At 48.7% G+C, this 21,787-nt stretch overlaps 1 pseudogene across 1 annotated transcript, besides 1 other annotated feature; it reads right to left on the bottom strand.

The window, feature by feature from the left end:
• Positions 1,072-2,271: an enhancer, noted in NCBI's record as "CDK7 strongly-dependent group 2 enhancer chr16:55813055-55814254 (GRCh37/hg19 assembly coordinates)". NCBI's record gives its function as "activates an origin of replication core promoter dependent on BRD2, BRD4, P300/CBP, MED14 and CDK7 cofactors, with strong dependence on CDK7, by STARR-seq in HCT116 cells {active_cell/tissue: HCT116}" and the evidence as "EXISTENCE:reporter gene assay evidence [ECO:0000049][PMID:35650434]".
• Positions 6,488-20,815, bottom strand: CES1P1 (carboxylesterase 1 pseudogene 1; annotated as a pseudogene). The gene is made up of 6 exons (NR_003276.2): positions 20,721-20,815; positions 16,510-16,717; positions 13,905-14,049; positions 11,319-11,452; positions 8,892-9,045; positions 6,488-8,010 (listed from the first exon to the last, which is right to left on the bottom strand). The product of NR_003276.2 is annotated as a carboxylesterase 1 pseudogene 1 (transcript).
• Positions 20,816-21,787: the final 972 nt, after the last annotated feature.

The following is a 21,787-nucleotide window of genomic DNA, read 5'->3' as shown; positions in this document are numbered from 1 at the left end:
GTGTGTTTTGAAGGACTAACTCCATGGAGGGAAGGGGATTTGTCTCATAAGGAAGGTCAGGCTTTTAAGAAGTGGGAGTGACGTGCTCTAACTCTGTTAAGGAAGGACAGTCTGGCTGCACCATGAGACGTGGAAATGGGGAGGGGAGGTGAAGTAGAAGAGGATAAAAGTTGAGGCAAGAGACAGGAGAGCCCCAGTTGGGCAGCAGCAATGCAGGAAGACTGCCATCAGCAACAATGACAAGTGATTGCTGTTGTCCACTCAGAGTTTGCAAGTGGCTGCCCTGTGTGGGCATAACCTTGCTTGTGTCAGAAAACTCAGGGCGTCCTCCACTCCTCTCTCTTTCTCACCCGCTGCATCCTGTCCATCAGCAAATCCTGTCAGCTATTCCTTCAAAGATATCCAGACTCCAACTACTCCTCCCATCCCCACTGCCACAGCCCTGTCTAAGCAGCCAGGAGCCCTTGCCCTTGCCTGGATTACGGCAATGCAGTGGCTGCCCAGCTGGTCAACTGCATCCACTCTGCCCCTTTCCTACAGTCTATTTGAACACCGGAGGCAGAGACCTTTGTGAGATCTAAGAACATGTGACTCCTCTGTTCAAAACCTCCAAAGGTTTCCCATCTTGCTCTGAATCCAAATCCAAGTACTTTAATTGATCTCTCTCCCACTGCCAATTACCTCTTTAGCCTCAAGCCAGTCTGTCCCCACACTCGGTCCTCTCCAGCCAGACTGGCCCCTTCTGTCAGGGTCTTTGCAGTGACTATTCCCTCTGCCTGGAATAGGCTTCTCCAGGTTTCCTGACAGCTGGCTTCCTGCCTCCTCCAGAGCTTGGCTCAAATGCCACCTTCTCATTGAACCATTCCCTGATCCTGCTACTGAAATTGAAACCACCCACAAACTCTATCCCCTAATGCTGCACACCATCAAATGGAATACATACTTGATTTGCTTTTTTATTGCACTGTCCTTGCACTGTAAAGGAAGGTCCCAAGAGGGCAGGGAGTCTTTCTTTTTTCACTGTTATATCCCCAGCTCCTAAACAAGTCCTGGCACATAGGAAGTGTTTATTATCTTTGCTGAATGAATCTCATGTACTCCGCCCATGACCATTTAGGAGAGTGCTGCGGCCTCCAGGGAGGCAGCAGAGAGGACAGGATTGTAAGATTCGTCAGAGGTGATGTCACCAGAAACTGTCAACCCATTGGGAGGTGGGGGTGGGGGTGAGGAGATCAGGAGGATACTGTTGGAGTTTCCTGTGTGCTGGGAGGAGGCGAGTGTCCTTGGACTGAGATTTAGGCTTCCTCCCTCCATGGCTAATCATCGCTATTATCTCTGCCTCCTGAGAGTGGAAGATTCTGGTTCAGCCTTCTTCCATAGTGCCATTTTGGGGAGTAGAAAATGTAAAAAAGCAGGGGAGTGGGCAGAGCCCAGGGCACACAGAGGTGATGCCTGGGAGCACTGGACTGGGAGTCAGGAAAATAGGTTCCAGGCCAGCCACTAGTCTTCCTGGTTGTGTTACCCAGGTGAGTCACTACCCCTCTCTGGGCCTCGGCAACAAACACACAGGAGTTACTATAACCACCCGAGAGGGGATTCTTTCACTCACAGTTCATTGGAACTTAAAGGTGCTAAGACTCAAAACCCGTAATCCAGAAACAAAAGGTCCTTACCTCTTTGAGGTCTCCCTGTAAGTCCAGAGATAAGAATTTCTGTGAAGACAAAAGCAGAGGATGTGGGTGAGAGGCTTCCCAGGAGAACACTGAGCTGGGTGAGTGGGGCAACAGGGGTGTCAGGTTCTCCCTCCTGGTGCCAAGCTGGCTGGGCTGAAAGGAAGTGGGCAGGACTCTGGCTCTGCTAGGCCTAAGCACAGGGTGAAGGCATAGCAGGGAGGGGTGGGCATCAGCATGGGGAAGACAGGCCGGGGACTCTGAGCCAGGGTCGATGGAGCTCTGGAGAGGACCCCCGCTGGTTGAGGCTGCCTGGCCCCCCATCCCTCTCCCCTTCCTCTTCACCTGGGAAGAACTCACCAATTCTCCTTCAGAGACCTCCTTCTTCTCCCATCACTCCATGAATTCATATATCTATATGTGACCTGGGGTGCTCCATCTCCCTGAACATGAATATTAGTTCAGGGATGGGCATACACCCATGTCAATCCAATAGTTTACCCCAAAACTTTTGCAGGAATTATTTAGAAACAGGGTTTTTAAGCAGATAGAACATAAGTCCAGAGTGCTGTTGTCTTTAACCTTCAGAGGAGACACATCTACCTAAGAGTGAAACCAACACAGAAATGTGCAAAGCTGAAGGATAGAGAATGGTAGATTCTCAATAATATCCTATGATCATCTGGATCCAGCCATGCCTGAAGCCATCAACTCCTGAGATTTTCAGTTTACATGAGGATGCTATTGCAACACATTTCTTTTTCTGTTCAAGGTACTTAAGGGAGTTTCCTCATCTCCTATCAGAAAGCCCTGACTCATGCAAGCTCACTGAGACTCACCCTACCCCATGCTTCTCTTTGGTGTGTGTTCACCAAGATTGCAGTGACTGTAGTGTTGCATTGTAGTTCCAAGATCTGACCTGTGCTCCGGACGTAACCAGTGCATGTCCCTCCATTAAGGATTGAAGTCCCACTAGCCAAGAGTGTGTGTGTGTGTCTCTTTGTGTGTGTGGGTGTCTGTGTGTGTCTGTGTGTGTGTGTGTGTGTGCCTGTATGTGTTTCTCTGTGTGTGTCTATGTGTGTTTGTCTGTGTGTCTGCATGTGTGCATACTGGAGGCAATGCGTAATCATGGAAGCACTTCCACAAGATCTCAGAAAAACTCAAAAGGATGTTCCAGGATCTTAGGGATAGGTTTTCCCAAAGACTCAACTCTCCCCTTTTAAGCTGGGTCCTCTGATGCCACATGCAGAATTGCTGGAATATTTGCCTCCTTCCTGGCATTAGAAAACAGGTGTGTTTTAATTCCTTGAACACTTTGGTCACTTAGAGACTGAACCAAGACCTAAGCCCCAAGACCACATTGGACTCAACCCATGGAAACACAAGCAGAGTCCAGTGGTAGAGGCCGGCCCTGGGACCCAGGAGTAGCCTCAGGTCCAAAGAGAGAGTCCAGGCTACTCCTGAGCTTGGAATTCACACTCTTCTCCCTCAAAGGGAATAGTTCCCAACGGCCCTGGGTGCTGTGTCATCTGGGTGTTTGTCCTGCTGGGCTTCCCTGTGATGAGAGACTGCCACAGCCATCCATCAATCCTAAAGGTCCCCAGGTCCTAATATGTGAGGATGGCAGGGAGCAGGGAAGGCAGAAGATACTCTAGACCCGCAGGTGTGGGCTCTGTGTCCCACAGTGTTGCCTCTGACTAATTAGAACTGTGACATGGGGCAATTACAAAATTTATCTGTCTTTGTTACCTCTGTTAAAATGGGCACAATGATCTGAAAGCTGAATTTCTCAGGAAAGATAAGGTGGAGTCAGGGTTAAGGGCATGAACTCCTGAATTCCACTGTCTGGTCTCAAATCTGGCTCCTCCGCCTTCTCTGTGAAGCATCCCTGATTACTACAATGAATGCTTCCCCTCTGTGCTGCCACCATACTCAACCTGCGAAGTATATGAATGTATTTCTCTTTGGATAGTTCCTTGAGAGCAGGGACTATGTCCACTTCATGTCTGTTTTGCTACCTCTAACACCCACCCCTACATATTTAGCATGGATGGATGGATGGATCAATGGAGGGATGGATGGAGTTGGTCAATACATGGAGTACAGTTGAATTGAATGGATACATGAATAGATGGGTGAAAACTAGCAGACAGGCGATAACTGGATTGTTGATTTTGGAGGAATGGGTGATGGAGTTGAGATATAAGGTGGCTGGATGATCCATGAATGGTGGATGGATTGAAAATAGATACATAAAAAGTTACGAACAGGTTGATATTAGATTGATAAAAATAGATAAGTGAAAGCGATGAATTAGTGAACATACAGATGGATAAGAAGATCATAGTAGATGGATTAATGATTGAGTGGACAAATGACTATCCTAGAACAATAAATGAGTCAGAGTCTCAGAAAATATATGTAACTGGACCACCACCAGGTCTAATACAGACAGTTTCTAAGTCAACCAAGATAAATTGTGACATCTTTCTGAAAATCTTTGAGCTTAATATCTCCATCCCCCAAATTCAGCATGATGGTGTCCCCTGGGAATATGTAATGTTTAGTTTCTCAAAAATACATCTGAAAACAAGAATGGCAAAATATTAAATTTTCATCAAATAGTAAATTTGGTCAATTCTTTATCATGTTATTTTTTGACTTTCTTTTTATACATTTGTGCCATTTTACGATTAAAAAGGACAAATTAGATTCCCCATTCAGATACTGAGACTCCCGAGACTTGAGAAATTGTCCCAGGTAACTGTCCCAGGGCAAGAGGACCGCTGAAATGAAGAAGTCTGGGACCAAGTTTACAGTGTTTGGGCTACGGGAACAGGCAACCTACCATTTTCAATGTCGTCTCCAAGAGCTCCTCTTCCGTCTTCTGTCGCAGGCAGTGAACCATCACAGCTGAGGTGGTGGTTTTACACCCAGCAGTGATAGCAATTTGCTGCAAAGATCACAGGCAACAGAGTTCAAGAGTGAAGTCCCTTCCCTCCATCAACATGGAAAGTGGCATTCTATCCCAAGCCCAACTTGTACCAGTGGCAGGGGGCAGCAGAAGATACTGTAGACCCATGGGTGTGGGTTCCAGGTCCCACAGATCGTTGCCTCTGTTACTAATCTCAATTGTAACATGGGTCAATTATGTAATCTCTCATCTCTGCTACCTTATCTCCATTGAAACGGACATAATCATCTCCAGCTGAATGTGTCATGAAAGGCAAGGTGGAGCTGGGATAGAGAGCATGGAATCCTGAATTTCCTTGTCTGCTTTCAAATCCTGGTTGTTCCACTTACCAGCCATTAGGCTGCAGGCAGTCCACCTGATTTCTTTGGGCCTTGGTTTCTCCACTCATGGATGGGAATAATGACTGCACCTACCTCATGAGTTAACACATGTGGGAGAGTGCCATGTCTCCCACACAATAAACATGTGCAGAATTGTAGGAGGCCTAGACAAGATGATTCACACAGAGGTGCTTCAGAAGGTAGCGAATGTGATTTAAAGGTGAGTTCTGAAAAAAACCAGGGTGTCATCCTTTGCAAGACATAGATGGGGTTTCATGGCCAGGAGTTTCCACCTGCACATTTGTGTACTAGAGTCCCAAGCAGCAATCAAGCACGACTCTTTAGGGCACAGGTCGGCAATGTGCCCATCAAAGGCCAAATAGTAAATATTGGAGGCTGTGTGGGCCACGTGGTCTCTGCTGTAACTTCAACACTGCTGTTGACATGAAACACAGCCATAGACATGAGGTAAATGAATGAGTGTCACTGTGTTCAAAGAAAACTTCCTTTATGGACACTGAAATTTGAATTTCATATAATTTTATGGTTCATGAAATATTATTCTCCTTTTGATTCCTTTCAATCATCAAAAAATTTAAAAAACCATCCTTAGCTCAAGGGCCATGCAGGCACAGATCCAGATTTGGCCATGAGTGATGGTCTGTTCACCTTTGTCCTAAGTGAAGCCACAGAGCAACACCAATTAATGCACCAAGAACCTCTTTCCAACTTTAAAAAATGTAAAAAATATTAAAATAAAAAAAGCCCTCCTGAGGGAGAGGCTGCCTTCTGCCTGTCCTGGGGATTGGGGTCAGTCTGCCAAGCACACTCTGGTTTCCTTCTTTTCTAAGAATCCAGGGACACTGAAGCACAGACGAGACAGTGAGCCTCTCTCCTAAGTGACCTGGAATCAGGGTGGAGAGCTGCTAATGTAAAAACGCTCATTTTTCACAACAGAAAAGACAGCCTGACTACTTTCTGGAACCAAAGGAGAGTCCTTAAGCTCAGGGGCTGATAGGGTGCTCATGCAGACTGGAAGCAAAGTGCAGCCAGAAATAAGGGCACAGAGGGAGAGCAGGCAGGCTCCATGGTGGGGGAGCCAGGGCGAGTGCACATGCCCCAAGAGCCTCGTGTAGGATCTGGGACAGAATCAATACCCAGGGTGTTTCTTGAATAAATAAACAGGGAGAAGTAGAGGGCGAGAGAGAGAAAGACAGAGAGAGAGACAGAGGAGAGAAAGAGGAAAAAGAATAAGAGAGTCTAGGATTCCCATCATTTTGTAATTTCTGTTTCGTGTTTTTTTCACAAAGCCCAGCCTCATCCCAGACCTCTATTTCCTTGAAAAATTAATTCTCCGTTTATAAACAAGATTTTGAGACAAGGTCTTGCTTTGTTGCCCAGGCTGGAGTGCCGTCATGCAAACACAGCTCACTGCAGCCTAGACCTCCTGGGCTTGGGTGATCCTCCCTCTTCAGACTCCATGTAGATGGGCCCACAGGCTTGCACCACCATGACCAGCGTAATTTTTTTTTTTTTTGTAGAGACAGGGTATCACTCTGTTGCCCTGGCTGGTCTCAAACTCCTGGGCTCAAGCAATCCTTCTCATTCGGTCTCCCAAATTGCAGGGATTACAGGCATGAGCCACCACACCAGGCTAATGCTCCTTCTTGACTTAAGTCTGGTCAATGGGCAACTGTTGCTTATAACCAATGAATTCTTAAAAAATTCTCAAAAATTCTAAAAATTCTTGGCATCCCCATTTTCTCTCCTCCTATGTACCAGCCCTTTAAATTTGGATGCTTTCCCCAAACAAGCTTTCAAAGCTACCGAAATCCTCCATGCCACTGGCTCCAGTGGGCGATCCTCAGCCTAGGTCTGGATTCCTATCGATCACCTCTTCCTTTGGCTTTCAACCACTCTCCAGATGATGACAAAATCCTTGCCAGGGTCCTGTGCAGGGTGGCCCCTCCCAACGTCCCCTCTGTCAGTACTCGCCGCGCTCCGCCTGTTCTGCCTGCTCTGGCCCCATCGGCTCTGTCTCTGTCTCTCCCTCCCGATTGGGATGCGTCCTCCTGCCACAGCACGCGCATGTGCTGCTCCCACTCCCTGGACGTTCCTTGCTCCTGACTCATTAGTCACTTTTCCAGCAAGCCTTCCCTGGTAACCTCTTCCAGCCCCAGGACTCAATGCTTTCTTTAGATTCTGCTGTGGCAGCAAGTACCTCACCTTCACTGCTCTTGTCATAGGTGACACTTTCTAGTTGTGTGATTCTGTAGCTATTCATCTATTCCCTACATTATAGCAGAAGCTTGGGGAGGTGTTAGGTGTCTGACTAGAATGCAGAGCCACATAGGGCCATGCAGTGTCTATGTCCCCTCCACACGGACATCTGGCTTTGAGCCAAAGGATGACGTCTGCCCATTTCTTGTTTTTGCCTTCACTTAGTCACCTAGTTTTGTTGTGTGAACAAATGAATCAATGAGTGAATTCTCCAGGAACCAACCCTGGTTATCAGGCGCTCATTGTGGAACTGCTTCAGGCCCACAGCCCACAAGTGGGTCCACAGAACTCAGACCCTGAGAGACACAAGACACCATCACTGCCCAATATGGCACCAGGCCCTGGCACATAGGTGGAGTGTGGTCACAGACAGGGCACTGTACTGGCTGCTAGGGCCATGAGCTGGAGTCCCAGCTCTGCCCTGATCACCTGCTGCCCTTGGCAAATCCCTTCCAAGCCCTGTGTCGGTTTGCCTGGCTGTGAAACTGGGACGCTGATCAAGGTGTCTCCTCGCCCTTCCTGCTCAGCCATTGGTGCCTCAGTGATTCTAGGAGAACATTAGCTACAACCGACCACAAGAGAGATCCCTGAGGATTCAGGAGCATAGAGCCAAGGAGGTGGGGGTGTCCAGCCGGAGACGTACCAGCCGGAGACCTACCTCAGCCAAGGGCTTGACATCACCTTTCTTCACCAGAACAGAAGTGAGGGCCACGCCACTCTCAGAAATGGCCCGGTGGAAGAGGTTCTTGGCCAATGGAGACAAAACCTGACAGCAGAGTGGAGGGGAGGAGAGTTCATGCTCAGGAGTGGGGTCAGTGACTCACTTGCTCTTCCAGGCTAGATCTACCCCACTATAAAACCAACACAGGATTGAGGAATCCAGTAGTGGGCTGACCCTCTGCCCACCTCGAGGCAGGCAGAAGTCTTCCTACAGCTCCCGGCACCTCTCATCTGGGTTTTCATCCCAGATCCCCCAGTGTCTCCCGCACCCAATCCCCAACCCCAGGAGGACCCCTCACACCCCGGGTTGTGTCTATGACCCACAACCCCTGCCCCATCCCTCCCCATCCCCAGCTCCATCCCTCCTTCCTCTCACCCGCCTCCCCTAGCCGACCGGGTCCCACAGTCACAGAAACTGTTGCCTCCTTCTTGGGCATGGACCAGCCATGAGACCACCCCAGAGGAATTCCCAGCCTGCTCAGTGTCCATGTCCCCTCCACTCATAGTTCTGGTTTAAGCTAAACAATGACCTCTGTCCACCTCTTGTCTTCGCCTGCCCTTACTCATAATTTATGCCTATCCCTACTTCCCAAGAGAAGGGAAGTGAGTCCTTATGTTAAAATGAGTGGGAAGGAGAGAGAGAAAGAGAGAGAGAGAGAGAGCTCAATCAAGCTAGAAGAGGAGAATGCCACCGTTGCAGGCTGCAACTAGAGATTCATATGGCCCCCGGACACTAAGCTGAGCTCTGAGCTTCCTGTGGGCCAAGGAGAGCTTGGTCTTTAGCTTTCCACCCCCTGATTGGGCAGTGAGTAGGGCCAGTCCTGAGACTGTAATCAGAAGTGTGCATAGCTGGATTGACAGGTGTCCAAGAGATCTCATCAGCATCACATCAAGCCTGGGGTTGGGCCCGGTGCCAGGAATACTCACAAGAACAGAGACACTTTCTCCTCCCACTGACCCTCCAAAGATGGTCACAGAGCCTGGGTTCCCTCCAAAGCTGGCAATGTTGTCCTGGACCCAGTGCAGGGCAGCCAGCTGGTCCAGGTGACCCCAGTTCCCCGGGCTGTGTTCATCCCCTGTGCTGTAAGGAAGAGAACAGGTTGAGGGTGGGGAGCAGAGATATCATGGCAGGACTTTCAGGACTACAGATGCGGCTGGGGGCTATCAATAAGCCTTTAAGAATAAGGCTGGGCTTCAGCATCTCTGAGACCCTGCTTTCATTAGTACAGCATTGTGGTGATGTATGGTTCTACATTCACTCAACTGGCAACTATTTACTGAGCATCTACTATATGCCAGACACTGTCCTATGAGCTAGAGCACACCTGAGAGCAAAACAGGCAAAACCTGTGATGACACTGAGCTCCCACTACAGATCACAAGCAGATAAACAGATATATAGAGAGAATATAATGATGTCAGGTAGTCAAAGTGCATTGAGGTAAATAAAATGGAACAAGGGTAAAAACAGGGGTGGGACAGGGGGTGCCATTTCAGATCCCAATCAGGGAAGGCCTTTTGGAGGCAGTGGCATTTGAGGTTTTGGAGGCAAAGACCTTCATAAAACAAGCACAACGAGCACATGAACCTTGTAAATATCCAAAGAAAGGAATTCCAGGCAGAAGAAAAAGCAAGTGCAATGGGCCTGGGGCCCAGTGAAAGAAAGTGTAGGTCAGGAGGTGCAGCTAGAGAGAGCCCTGGGGCCCTGGCAAGAACTTCGGCTGCCATGGTAAGGAACATGGGAAGTCCCTGCAGGGTTTTGTGCAGAGGCATCACATGATTCAACGCACATGTTACGTGATCACTCTCGGTACTGTGCGACTCAGCCTCAGTAAGAAAGTGGCAGAGATCTGAAAGTAAGTCTTAAGATCATAATCAAGGTGACAGACAGAAGGCTTTGGCTAGGGTAGGAGCCAGGGAAGAGGTGCAAAGTAGTGGATTCTAAGTGGATTCTGAAGGTGGAGCCAAGAGGGTTGTGAGAAAAGAGAGAGTCCAGGCTGCCCACAAGGCCTTCTCCTGAGCCCAAGGGAGGGTGTGGCAGCAGCAGCTGAGTGGAGGTGTGGTGAGAGGAGGAGGGGGTCTCTGTTGGGGAGGGGCAGTGGGAGTCAAGGATTCAGCTTGTCCATGGGAAGAGTGGGGCACCCTTTAAACAGCCAGGGGCAGGGAAGAGGCAGTGAGTGACACCTGTGGGCTTCAAAGGTGAGGTGGACTGGAAACAGGGGCTCTGGGCTGCTCCGTGGGATCACTGGGAATTAGTAGGGAGGGAGAGGGAGACAAGAGAGGCCTGTGGACAGGGAGGAGGGGGGACCAGGAAAGGGGCTGGGAAGGAAGCATGTCACAGAGGCTGAGCGGCCATCTGCTGCTGCTGGGAAGTCCTGTGAGGTTGGGTGGAGCACAGGGGGAGGTCATTGGTGACCACAATGAGAGCAGCCTAGTGGTGTGTTCAGGAAGAAACCTGACTGGCATGGGTGGAGGAGACACACGGAGGAGAGGAAGTGGAGAGAGATCATGAAGCAGCTTTATTGTAATGGGGAGCAGAGACACAGGCTGTGGCTGACAGGGATGAAGGTGATACCACCAAGACTGGCCTGGGATGCCTTGCTGATGGGTAGACCAGAACTCAACCTCCATCTCCCTAGGCTTTCTCATCAGTGAGTGGAATCCCTCCCACAACCCTCGCATCACTCACTCGGGATTGAGGTGCTGGGATGTTAACACTTAGAAAAGGTTCATAGTAATTGCACCTTGAAGGAGATCTGACTCCTGTCCCCATGGAGACCTGATGGGGAAGACTCCATCCTTGCTTCCCGCGCTTGCCAAATTTCGAGCAGAAAATGGGGTGAGTGGGTCCCAACACTCCTACAGGAAGGGGTCAGATGCTCCCACACCCCACCATCTGCAGGCCCCATTCCTTCACCCACAACATGCCCTGAGCTCCCTCTGTGACTCTGCCCCTTCCCTCCTTTCCATGAGAAGTCAGATGTGTCAACCTTCACCTGCTGGGCTGCCTGCTAAGTGTCATGACAGAGAAAAGCAATGTGCTGGAGAAACATAGGTGAAGAGGAGATGAGTCTTTCAGTGGAGGTAACTGGGGGCTGGGTCTTGCAGGATGAAGAGGTGTTCTTCGGATAGAACAAGCATTCCAGGCAGAGGGAACAGCACATGCAAAAGCTCAGAGGCAAGTGGATGAGTGGCTGGGTAGTGAGAGGGTAGGTAGTGTCCAATTATGAAGGGGCTTGGATGCCTTACTGTGGAACCTAGCTAAGCTCCCCTGAGGGCTGGCATGACAAGAGCTGGGTCCTAGCATCCTCGTTCTGGGGGCCAAAGTGCAGTGAGGAGAGTCCAATTTCTTACCTGAAGAATCCCCAGATGCCCAGGCGATATTGAATGGTCACCACCACCACGTTTTCATGGGCAGCAAGGGCCAGCCCATCGTAGGTTGATGCCGCACCCACCATCAGCCCCCCTCCGTGGATCCACACCATCACCTGGGCAGAGAGGAAGCAACATACCAGTTACAGGACACAGAGCCAGGGAGCACTCAGAAGATGTCTTGTTTGGTGACCTACCTGTTGGTTACAACTGAAGGAGGATGCTACCCAAAGTTCACCAGCTCCCAGCAACTTTGCAAAAGGCAATCTCTCTCCTGCATAATTCTCCCAACTGGGACCCAAGCCACCACCCTACTGCACATACCCTGGCTGTCCCTTCCTTTCTACCCAGCCTCCAGTGCCTCCTCCCCGAAAGGCTCTTGATGCTGAGAACATCATCATGGGCATAGCAAAGGCTAAGGATGTCCTCTTCTCCCCCTCACTCCCATCACCCTCAAGCCTGGACTATTCATGCACTCAGCGTACCCATGGGGCAGCCCTTGTATCTCAGCTTCATCTCAGTTAACTATCTCTTGGTGAAGTAAACTTCTCTGTGCATGAATGATTGTCTCGAGAAGCACACGTGCCTGTGATGGTGTCTCTTCCTCAAATGCCTCCTTATGCCTCTGCATCCCCAAATCCTATCCACCCTGCAGAACCCAGCCTAAAACCCACCCACTTCAGGATGCCTTCAGTCAATGGACTAACACTGTCGAGAACTTAGCAAGTGCCAGGGACTCTGCTAATACTGGAGGATGAGAGTGGATACAATTCCTCATGCATGATTCTTGCATTTTAAAAGTCCACATAGTGGGGAAGAAGTGAGAGTGGCTAAAATAATGATATTGTAATAATATTATTCATGAAATATAAAAGAACTCGTAACATAAACTATGTCCCAAGTGCTGTTCTAAGCACAGTAAAATAAACTATCCATTGGGTAGATACTAATACTGTGGCATTCTCCAGGTGGGAAAATGGAGGCACTTAACCTGCCCAAGGTCCTACAACTCAAAAGTGGTAGCAGCAGGACTTTAACCCAGGCGGTCTGGCTCCAGAGTTCACATGTTGAGCTGCCCAGCATACTGCAGGCGCCGGCCACAGTGCAGTGAGTCCACTGTTAGGGCAGGGGTATGAGCCTGCCTCTGCCTACTTAACCAGGGTCCGAGATCAAGCTTAGTGGTCACCCTTGACTGACCATATGTGGTGACTCTCATTTTGAGGAAACAGAGGCTTAGAAAAGTTAAGAAATGCCCAGCTACTCAAAGGCAGAACCAGGATTTAAACCTAGACTGTGTAGTTCTAGAACCTGTGGCCATTCCTAGAGGTTCTCCTGCCTCCAGGTTCCCAGAGCCCCTGTTTCTCCCACACATCTAATCCATGGCTGCCTCCTGGGGAAGGACTGAGTGTGCATTCATCTTTGTGTGAAGGCTGAGCCCAAGGGCTGGCCTGCAATAACCTGCTGAAGAGAGAATATGTCTCTACAGCCCAGATGGCAAGATCTTTGAAGGCAGGGGCTGCGTGGAGTGGATTCATGTTCCTCCTTTCCCTGAAGCCCTGGGTCTAACTGTGTATATGGGGCACTGAGTACACAATAGAAGAATGAATGAATGAATGAATGAATGAATGAGTAAACGTTTCTCCCACTTCCTTTGTCTTACAAAGTACACGTAGGGCCAACTTCTAGTCCCATGTTTGCAGACCTGCTCCCCCACTCCTAGGCACCATGCCACGGTGCCCCTGGGAGACTGGCTGGACACAACACCCCTTCTTTTTACACCCTGGAGTGGCCTCCTTTGACAGCAGACCCTCCCCACCCTCCAACCTGCAGCTGGCAGCCTGCCCCATCTCCCGCCCTTCATTTATTTGGGAAATGCTAACTCACTGGGTCATCAGCCGTTGCCAAGACAATTAAGGAGGGAAATTAGGTAAAAAAAATCCCAGATATTTGGCCAAAGGCAAAAGGAAATGCTTCTGGGATTGTCCCATGTTCTTCCCTCAACACCTGTACCTGGACAGTGAAAGTTACCCCAGATGAATGTTGATGTACTGGAGAAGGCCACATAAAAGCTCAATGCCCTAATCCCTGTCGAAAGCACTGATTTGAAGATCAGAAGACTTGAGCCAAAACTACCCTATTGTGTGACCTCTCCTTCCCTGTCTGGGCCTCAGTTTCTCTATTTGAAAAAGAAGAGTTGGGGTGTTGGCTTTTCTCTAAGTTCCTTCCACCACTAACATTATTGAAAATCATGTCTTACCCACTGTGGATATCAGATTTTTAATCTAGTAACTAAAAGTAATCATTATCATCCTTCTATTAGCATGAGGGAACTTGGAACAATTAAGATGTTCATTAAAGATGCACAGCAAACTCCCCCAGAGTCCCTGTGTCATGAGGGGAAACTGAGGTGTGGAAAACCAGTGTTTCCTGTGGAGGCCCTGGGGTCTCTGAAACAATCCTGGCCTGTGCAGCTCCCTCCCCAAGCTGCCTTCACTCCCTTCCATTCTGCCCCAGAAGATGCAGGGTACTGGCGCTGACACGCCTTGACCAGGGGATCCCATGGCTTACCGGCAGCCTGTTTTTCTTGGTCAAGTCAGCAGGAGTGTAAATATTGAGGTAAAGACAGTCTTCAGAAAGCTTGAGAGGAATGTTCTCTTTTCAGTTTGTAAATAGCTCTGAGATTAACTGCCCCGCCTTGGGATCTTGGGTGAACCTGGGGAGGGGGAAAGAAGAACCCCTGAAGTTCAGCCAGATCTAAGCGAGGTGTGTTCTAGGGCAGTGCCTTGGGCTGGGAGGTTCAAGCCTGGAAATGGACTTGATATTTACAGACTCACGACATTGTAGTGGGTAGGAGGCTATCAGTGGCTTCAGGTGGGGGTGCTGGGACTCACTAAGGTCTCCTAAGACCAAGCAGAGTGAGAAGGGCTTCACACCTCTTCCCTTCCTGGAGCCTTCGGGACTCCCAGCATCAAGGAGGGAAGAAAACCAATACAACGATCTTCCCTGGGAGGTGACATTTCTTGCAATGTCTTAGGGGTAAAATCTTTTTGGGACAACATCAGGAGAACTGTGCTCTAGTTTTGTCTCTCCCACACATTTACGGGATGACCTTGGGTGAATTCCTTTCACATTCTGGGTCCCAAATCTGCCAGGTCTAAGTGAGAGCAGTGATTTCTACATGGGTCTTGCAGCCCTGACATGCCAAGATTCTACCATCCGCCTATCCCAGGCAAGTGCTGCTGTGGTTGCCCTGATGAAAGATCTTGAGGATACAACATAGATGAACATTGGTAACAGTTATTGAGTTCTCCCAGTGTTCCAGGCACTGTTTTAAGTACCTTTTGTATATTAACTCATTTAAGCCTCAGAACAGTCCCATTAGGTAGGTTCTATTATTTCCATTTTACAGATGAGAAAACTGAAGCCTAGAGAGGTTAGAGAACCTGACCAACATCACATAGCCAAGAAGATCCATGCCATGTGGTGCTTATACACAAGTATATTATAAGCAACAGTCCCAGACCTCAATGTACCAAAAGGCAGTCATCACCGCCCCCACTAGGTACATGAGGAAACTGAGGCACTCAGACTCTGGGATGACACAGCTGTCAAGTGACAGAATCAGAGCCAGCAAAGATGACTTCTTGATTTCCAACCTGGGAAATTTTCCTACAGATCACCAAGTGCAAGAGGCATAACAACAATAATAATAAAAAAAAAGACATTCCAATGTGAAGAAAGGGAAAAGAACTCAACTTCACTAGTCTTCAGATAAATGCAAATTAAAGAGGAAAATAATATTGCTGTTATTGTTATTATTATTTTGCCTATCCAATAGCCAAAAACATTTTTTAATAATCCCAAGCATTGCCAAGAGTCTGCCAAATGGAGATGTTCATACATCAATGGGAGGAGTGTAGTTGGAATATTTTGGGAGGGAAATCAAACAAGAGGTATATACTCTTTGACTCAGAAATGTCGTTTCTGAGCAGCTATCCTAAAATATTCATATATGTGCATAAGGCTTCACATTCATGATGTTATATTATTGAAAACATCATATGTCACTTAATGACCCCAAGTAAAAGCTTGTGGAGATTAATTATGGTTCAATACAATGTAAAGCAGCTGTTAATGCCAATCTGTGCTATTTAATGGCATGGAATGATGCTCATGATTACTTATAATGAACAAAGCAGGCATCCAAATTATCTCAATATAGCATTCCCTTTTAAAGGAAGAGAGTATAGCAACAGGCAAAAAAACTGGAATACAAACAAAATATTATATCATAAAACTTTGCTATCTAAAATATTGATAGTTGTTCTCTTTGGGTGGTGGGATATTGTATGTGATTTTAATTTTCTTACTTTTCCTTCTCTGTATTTCCTGAATTTTCTGTAATAAGTATATATTACATTTGCAATCAGAAAATAAAAACAGTAAACATTATTTTTTAAAAAATAGCAAAGAAAAGAAGGCAGCCAGATGCGGGCTGCTGGAAAGCCTCCGAACACCTGGCTGCCAAGATGAGCAGGGTCTGCTCTGATGCCTGTAGGGACCTTGGTACCCTAGGGAGTGGTGATGAGGCCAATTAGAACCTTTGGGCTTTTCTTCCCAGATTGGCCAGGGTGAATGGGCACACCTGCCATTTTTCTCCTCAGGAATTGGCACACCTGAGAGTTGAGCACTTGCCAAGTGGACCCCTCAGTACTTCCTGGCCCAGCCCTCTCCCCAACTATGTGAAAGTTCAAGACAGAGGAATGCATGAGATCCTTCCTTTTGAACTCCCTCACCTGCTCAACTGCTTCTTTGTTTCCAAGGCACTTATTCCGTTCTAACATATCACATGACGCATGGAGTAATTTGCATGCTGTTTTTATCTGTCCAGCTGCTAGAATGCACGCTCCATGAACCTAGGGATCTTCGCTTTGTTCACTAATGGATCCCAAGAACCCAGAACATGCCTGGCACACAGTAGGTGCTCAATAAACGTGTTAAATAATGGACTCCAGAATGCTGTGAGAGTTCTGGAATGTTCTTAAGGATCTACAATGATCTTAAGGATTCCAGAGCAAAGGATCAGCCCATCAGGGGACTGCCTTGACTCCTTCCTGCATCACTGTGAGGCGAACATCCCCAAGGACACATGCCACAGCCACCCCTGGCTTACATAGGAGGGTACGAGGTGGCATTCTTCACAAAGTTCCATGGCTCTGCAGGCTGTGGTAGAGTAAACCTCAGGGGTCCAAGAGGCGGCTTGGCAAAAGGGATTCCCAGGAAAACGGCCACAGGCTGTGCAAATCCTTCTAAGCTGACGAACTTCCCCAACACTTTGCCATGCAGGGTGTCCACCAAAGGTGGCGAGGACAGATGCCCTGCTGGATATGGAGAAGAAATCAGGATGCATCAGAGGCAAAAGGCTGGACCCAGATTCCAGGTGGGGTTTCCCACTCTCTAAGTGAGTGACCTTAAATAAGTCACCTAAACCCTCTAGGCCTCAGTTTCTCTTGATGTACAATAGGGATGAGGGATCAATGTCCTTCCTAACTCATCAAGCTGGTTTAAGGAGCAAATTAGAATTGGAGGCAAAAAAACATCCAGCCAAAAATAAATGCAAGAAGGATAGCTACTAGGAAAGAACAAGACATTTAGCTTCCCCCTTAGAAGTCTCTGGAAACATTTATCCATTAGAATCCTGGCACTGAGCCGCATGCTGGATGAGAGGATGAACAAGGGGTGACCCATATTCTCACAAGCACTGACCATCATAGGGAAGGGTCACATATACACCTGGGGCTACAGCTGGGAAGGAAGTGGCCGTGTCCTGGGAGAGGTACCCATAACGCAGTCTAGGAATTAGAAGAGGGGGCAAGGCCTTCTGATTGCGGGCATCATGGAGGAGCTGGGACTTGCAGTAGAGGAGGATTGAATGAGGGGAGATGAGAAGCAGAGAGTGGTACACAGCAGAGAGAAGGGAATTTGCTGAGGCTCAGAGCAGCAGAATGCAGAGCCTGCCTGGGGAAGGGGGCATGGCCCACATGCACCAGGTGGAGTCTGGGGGGAGTGGAAAATATTCCTGGAATGAGACCGCGCATGTCAGGGAGGGCTTAGAATGCCAGGCTAAGCGCTTGAGTTTTCTTTACAGACAAATAAGCAGCAGGAACCGTTCCAGATAAAGGATGTGATCAGGTCAAGGAAGATTCTTCTGGTGGCCCTGGGCAGGTCTGCTCCATTCTTTCAGCACAGACAATGTTTCCTCACTGAGCTGAAATTCATTTCCCACAGCCTCCGCATCAGTTCTGGTTCTACCTGTCATGGGACTATACTGGCCTGATCTGATCTGCAGCCTGTGGCCTTTCAGACACTTGATCTTGCTGCCCACCCCTCAGGTCCTATCTGGCTCCAGTCACCTCAGTTTGTCTGAGCTTCCCTCCTAGGAAATGATTTCCAGCCTCTTGTCCTCCCAGCTGCTCTGCTTTGGATAAAGACAAGATGTTAACACCTCCCTCAAAGTGTGGGGCTAGAACAGAACAGAACAATTCAGATTTGGTCTTAGAGGGGAATATCCAATCACAATGGAAACTCCTTATGCAAAGCCCAGTTACACAACAGCATCCATGTCTCATCTTATTAATAGCCAACACTGCAATGTCAATATTTAGCTTCTTTTCTTTTGTTGTTGCTAATTACAAACAATACTGAGATGAACTTCCTTGGAAGCATGTTTATCGACATAGCAATGGGTGGTGGCATTACATGTGGCCTGTTTTCTTGGTGATTTCCACCTTTTCAGCACTGTATGGGATTTCTGGTCTTCACCTGAAATCTTCCCAACCGATCTTAACTATTTTAAAATTTTAAATAAAAAAAGAAAAAAATATGTAGAAATATGATGATGTCTAAAAGGTATTTTGAAAGACTTGGAGACCAGGCACAGTGGCTCACCTGTAATCCCAGCACTTTGGAAGGCCAAGGCAGGCAGATCATTTGAGGTTAGGAGTTCAAGACCAGCCTGGCCAACATGGTAAAAACCCCTCTCTACTGAAAATACAAAAATTAGCTGGGCGTGGTAGCATGAGCCTGTAATCCTGGCTCCTCTGGAGACAGAGAAGAAGGAAAGAAGGAAAGGAAAGAAGGAAGGAAGGAAGGAAGGAAGGAAGGAAGGAAGGAAGGAAGGAAGGAAGGAAGGAAGGATGGAAGGAAGGCAGGCAGGCAGGCATGCAAGCAGGAGCGAGGGAGGAAGGGAAAGAAAAGAAAAGAAAAGAAAAAGACTCTGTCCCTGACTAGACGTGGGGGGAAATGGAAGGGAAAGAAGATCAAAGACCTGGCTTGTGATGTTGGATCCCTGTTTACATAGGCTCGGTGGAGATGTCAGTGGGATATCATGGCAAGATGACGCCACAGGACGAGTGCACTTCAAGGCTGGAAGGAAGCCTGGTGGGGGAGCAGGGCAGAATGTTCTCCTAGACAGTGAGCATACACACCATGGATTTGTATGGCTTCATTGAAGATGCCAGTGTGAGAGGGAAGAGAAAAAAACAAAGATCAAACACAGGGACCACTACAGCCAAGACGAAAGATCCATCAGAGTAGCAGGGAGAGAACGTTCCCACGTCCTGGAAGCCCAGGGAGGAAGAGGGCAAGGAACCAACTAAGATTGCTGAGGACTTCAGGGAGGTGGAGGAGAGTCAAGTCAGAGAAGAAACCACTGGGCTGGTCATGCTCAGCTCAGGGATTCCCTTCAACAGGATGAGGTGGATGGCAGCCAGATTGCCAAGGGTGAAAAAGTGGGTGAATGGGGGGAGGCAGAAACAAGTGTGAGAACAAGACCAGTTGCTGCTGATGTTATATGAAGCACGAACATGGTGGGCACCTACTATGTGCCAGGCATGCATTCCAGTTTTTTAAATTAATCTTCAAATAAGCCTTGCTGGGTAGGCATCAACATGCCCATTTTACAGAGGAGGAAACTGAGGAAGTGGAGGCAGCCTGTATGGTCTTCCTAAGGAAGGAAATGGATGGCATTGCCAGGAGTAACCAGAGGTAAAGGAACATTCAGTTCCAAATAGGCTTCCTCTCTTCCTCTGCCCTTCCCCACAGTTCCAGAGCTCTCGCAGTGTCAGGCTGCCAGAAGGAAGACAGGATGCAGACGGGGCTGGGCTGTCAGGATTCAGGACCCAGAGACAGACCTAGGCGTGATTTTCGGGTTGACCCTGGGCAAGTACATTTCCCTGTGTGAGTTTCAGTTTCTATGTCTATAAAATGGCATGGGGGTATTTCGAGGCCCCTCGCTGCACCCCTCTATGTACCATGTGTTTTGTTTTCTGTATTCTGATGCTCTGGCATCTGAGGCCTTGTTGACCTTGGAGAAACTCCCTCTCAGGGTCCAGCCAACCTGGAGCCCACACTCCAACCGCCTCTTTGATCGGGTTGCCATGCCCTGGCCACTACCCACCTGCCCTAATCATGCCAGGGCTAGGTACAAAACAATTAGGAACAGCCCCTGTGCCCCAGAGCCCCTGAAGTATCCCAACTTGCCAGTCCTCAGCCTGCCTGCCCTGCCTTTCCTCTTCTATCCTTGGAAGCCACAGTAAAAGCCCCTTGGCCTCAGATCCGCCCTGTCCCCTCCCCAGGCTCTGCTGCTTCCCCTTGTGCCCCGCGCACTGGTGTCCCCCTCCTGTTGAGAACATGAGTAAGAAACTGTCTTTTTAATGGCAAGAGGTCCTGATATAGTGGCCTGACCACAGCTCGAATTTTCTATTCATACACTACATTTTTAAACAGCGCCTTTAAATTTATCCACCCCTTTTTCATGCTTTCTACATACCAGGCGCTTCCAAGAGTGCTTTAGAAACAACCACCCATTTCCTCCTCACCAAAGCCCAGTGAGGTAGGTAGCACTGCCACCTCTGTTTCAGAGAGGGGGTAACCCAAGCACAGAATAGCTCAGTCTCTTGCCTAAGTACACACAGCGAGGAAGCGCCCAGCGGGGACTCGAACCCAGGCACTCTGGCTCCAGAGTCGATGCTCTTAATATTCTCCTGAGCCGCTATCCGTTATCGAGCCATAACGGGACGAATTATGGGACAATAAACTGAGCTGCCTAAATTTCTCTTGTGTGCGGAGTGAGGTGGGCCGGCTGCCGGCCTTCTTGGGGCAAGCAGTGCAGGGCGGTCTCAGCATGTTCACCCTCCCTGTGTCTCCGCGCGGGCCAGGCTGGCTGGGCTCAGCTGCTCCAAGTCCAATTCCAAGTACGGAGGTCGCGCCCCGCCACGGAGCCGGACCTTTTGTGTCTTTGCCTTTCTACGCATCTGCGCCCAGTTCGGCCCAGAACAAGGATTTCAAAAAGTGCCCCGCATATTTGACTTCAGAAGGACTCACCCCAAGCCGCGGAAGCAGCGAGAGTGGCCAGGACAAGAGCAGGGAGCCACATCCTGGAAGGGCGACAGTTCCGGGGGCCTGCGAGGTCTCCGTGCAGCTCAGAGGGACTGTGCTGTCCAGCCCTGGCGCCACCCTGGCCCCCAGTTACCGCCCTGCACTGCCAATTGCCTAATCCTCTAATTGGGAGAGATCAGAAAAGCCCTCCCTTTCCCCAGATCTCCCTGGGCTTCCAGTGGGGCCTCAAGCCACGCCCACTCACAGTTTACCCTCTTTCATCAAACCAATCTGGACTCTACTCTCAGATTACAGAGAGCTGTAAACTCGCCCAACTGCTTGTGGCATAACGGTGTCACCCTTGCAGGACTCTAACCTTAGTGCTCTCTGAGGGCCCCCAAAGGCCCGCACCAGCAGGCAGATGCTTTTAGGCAAAGGGAAGCTTTGATCTGAGGTCCTCAGAAACAACTGGAAAATGTTAGAGCCACTCACACCTCACAGCTCAGCTGGGTAAGTTAGGACATATCTCAGCTCCCAGGGCTTGTGTTTCATAGCGTTCCAGGATTTCAAGCTTGGAAGCGATCCTAAATTTTATCCAGTCCACTTTCTGATGCCTGAATTAGCTTCACAGTATCCTGCCAACTAGCCAAGCCTTCTCACACACTTCCAATCTCAGGTAAATCACTACCTTCCAAAGCAGGAATTTTTGGACAGAATGTAAAAATGATTCCATCTCTCAATAGCTCCTGGCTTTAATCATCCATCCATTCATGTACCCATCCATTCTGTGAACATTTACCAAAATGCCAGGCACCTGGCCATGTATAATGGATACAAAGGTCAATTCAAGACATGGTTCAGCTTCTCAAGGGGTTCACCATTGTAGACAACACATATAGGGTGGAGGAGCAGTAGGTGTGATGTCAAGGCAATGTGAAATCACCAAATTAAGGGGATACAGAGTGCTCTGGGCACACCTGGAAAACTGTCATTTACAAGCTGCTGGGGACACAAGGAAGTCACTCAAACCTCTTTCATGGGATTATTAAATGTCCAACAATAGGGAATTCACT

Source organism: Homo sapiens, chromosome 16, assembly GCF_000001405.40.
Source record: "Homo sapiens chromosome 16, GRCh38.p14 Primary Assembly".
Lineage (NCBI taxonomy): Eukaryota > Metazoa > Chordata > Mammalia > Primates > Hominidae > Homo > Homo sapiens.
Note: the sequence above shows the minus strand (reverse complement) of the source record. Positions and strands in the feature narration are given on the sequence as shown.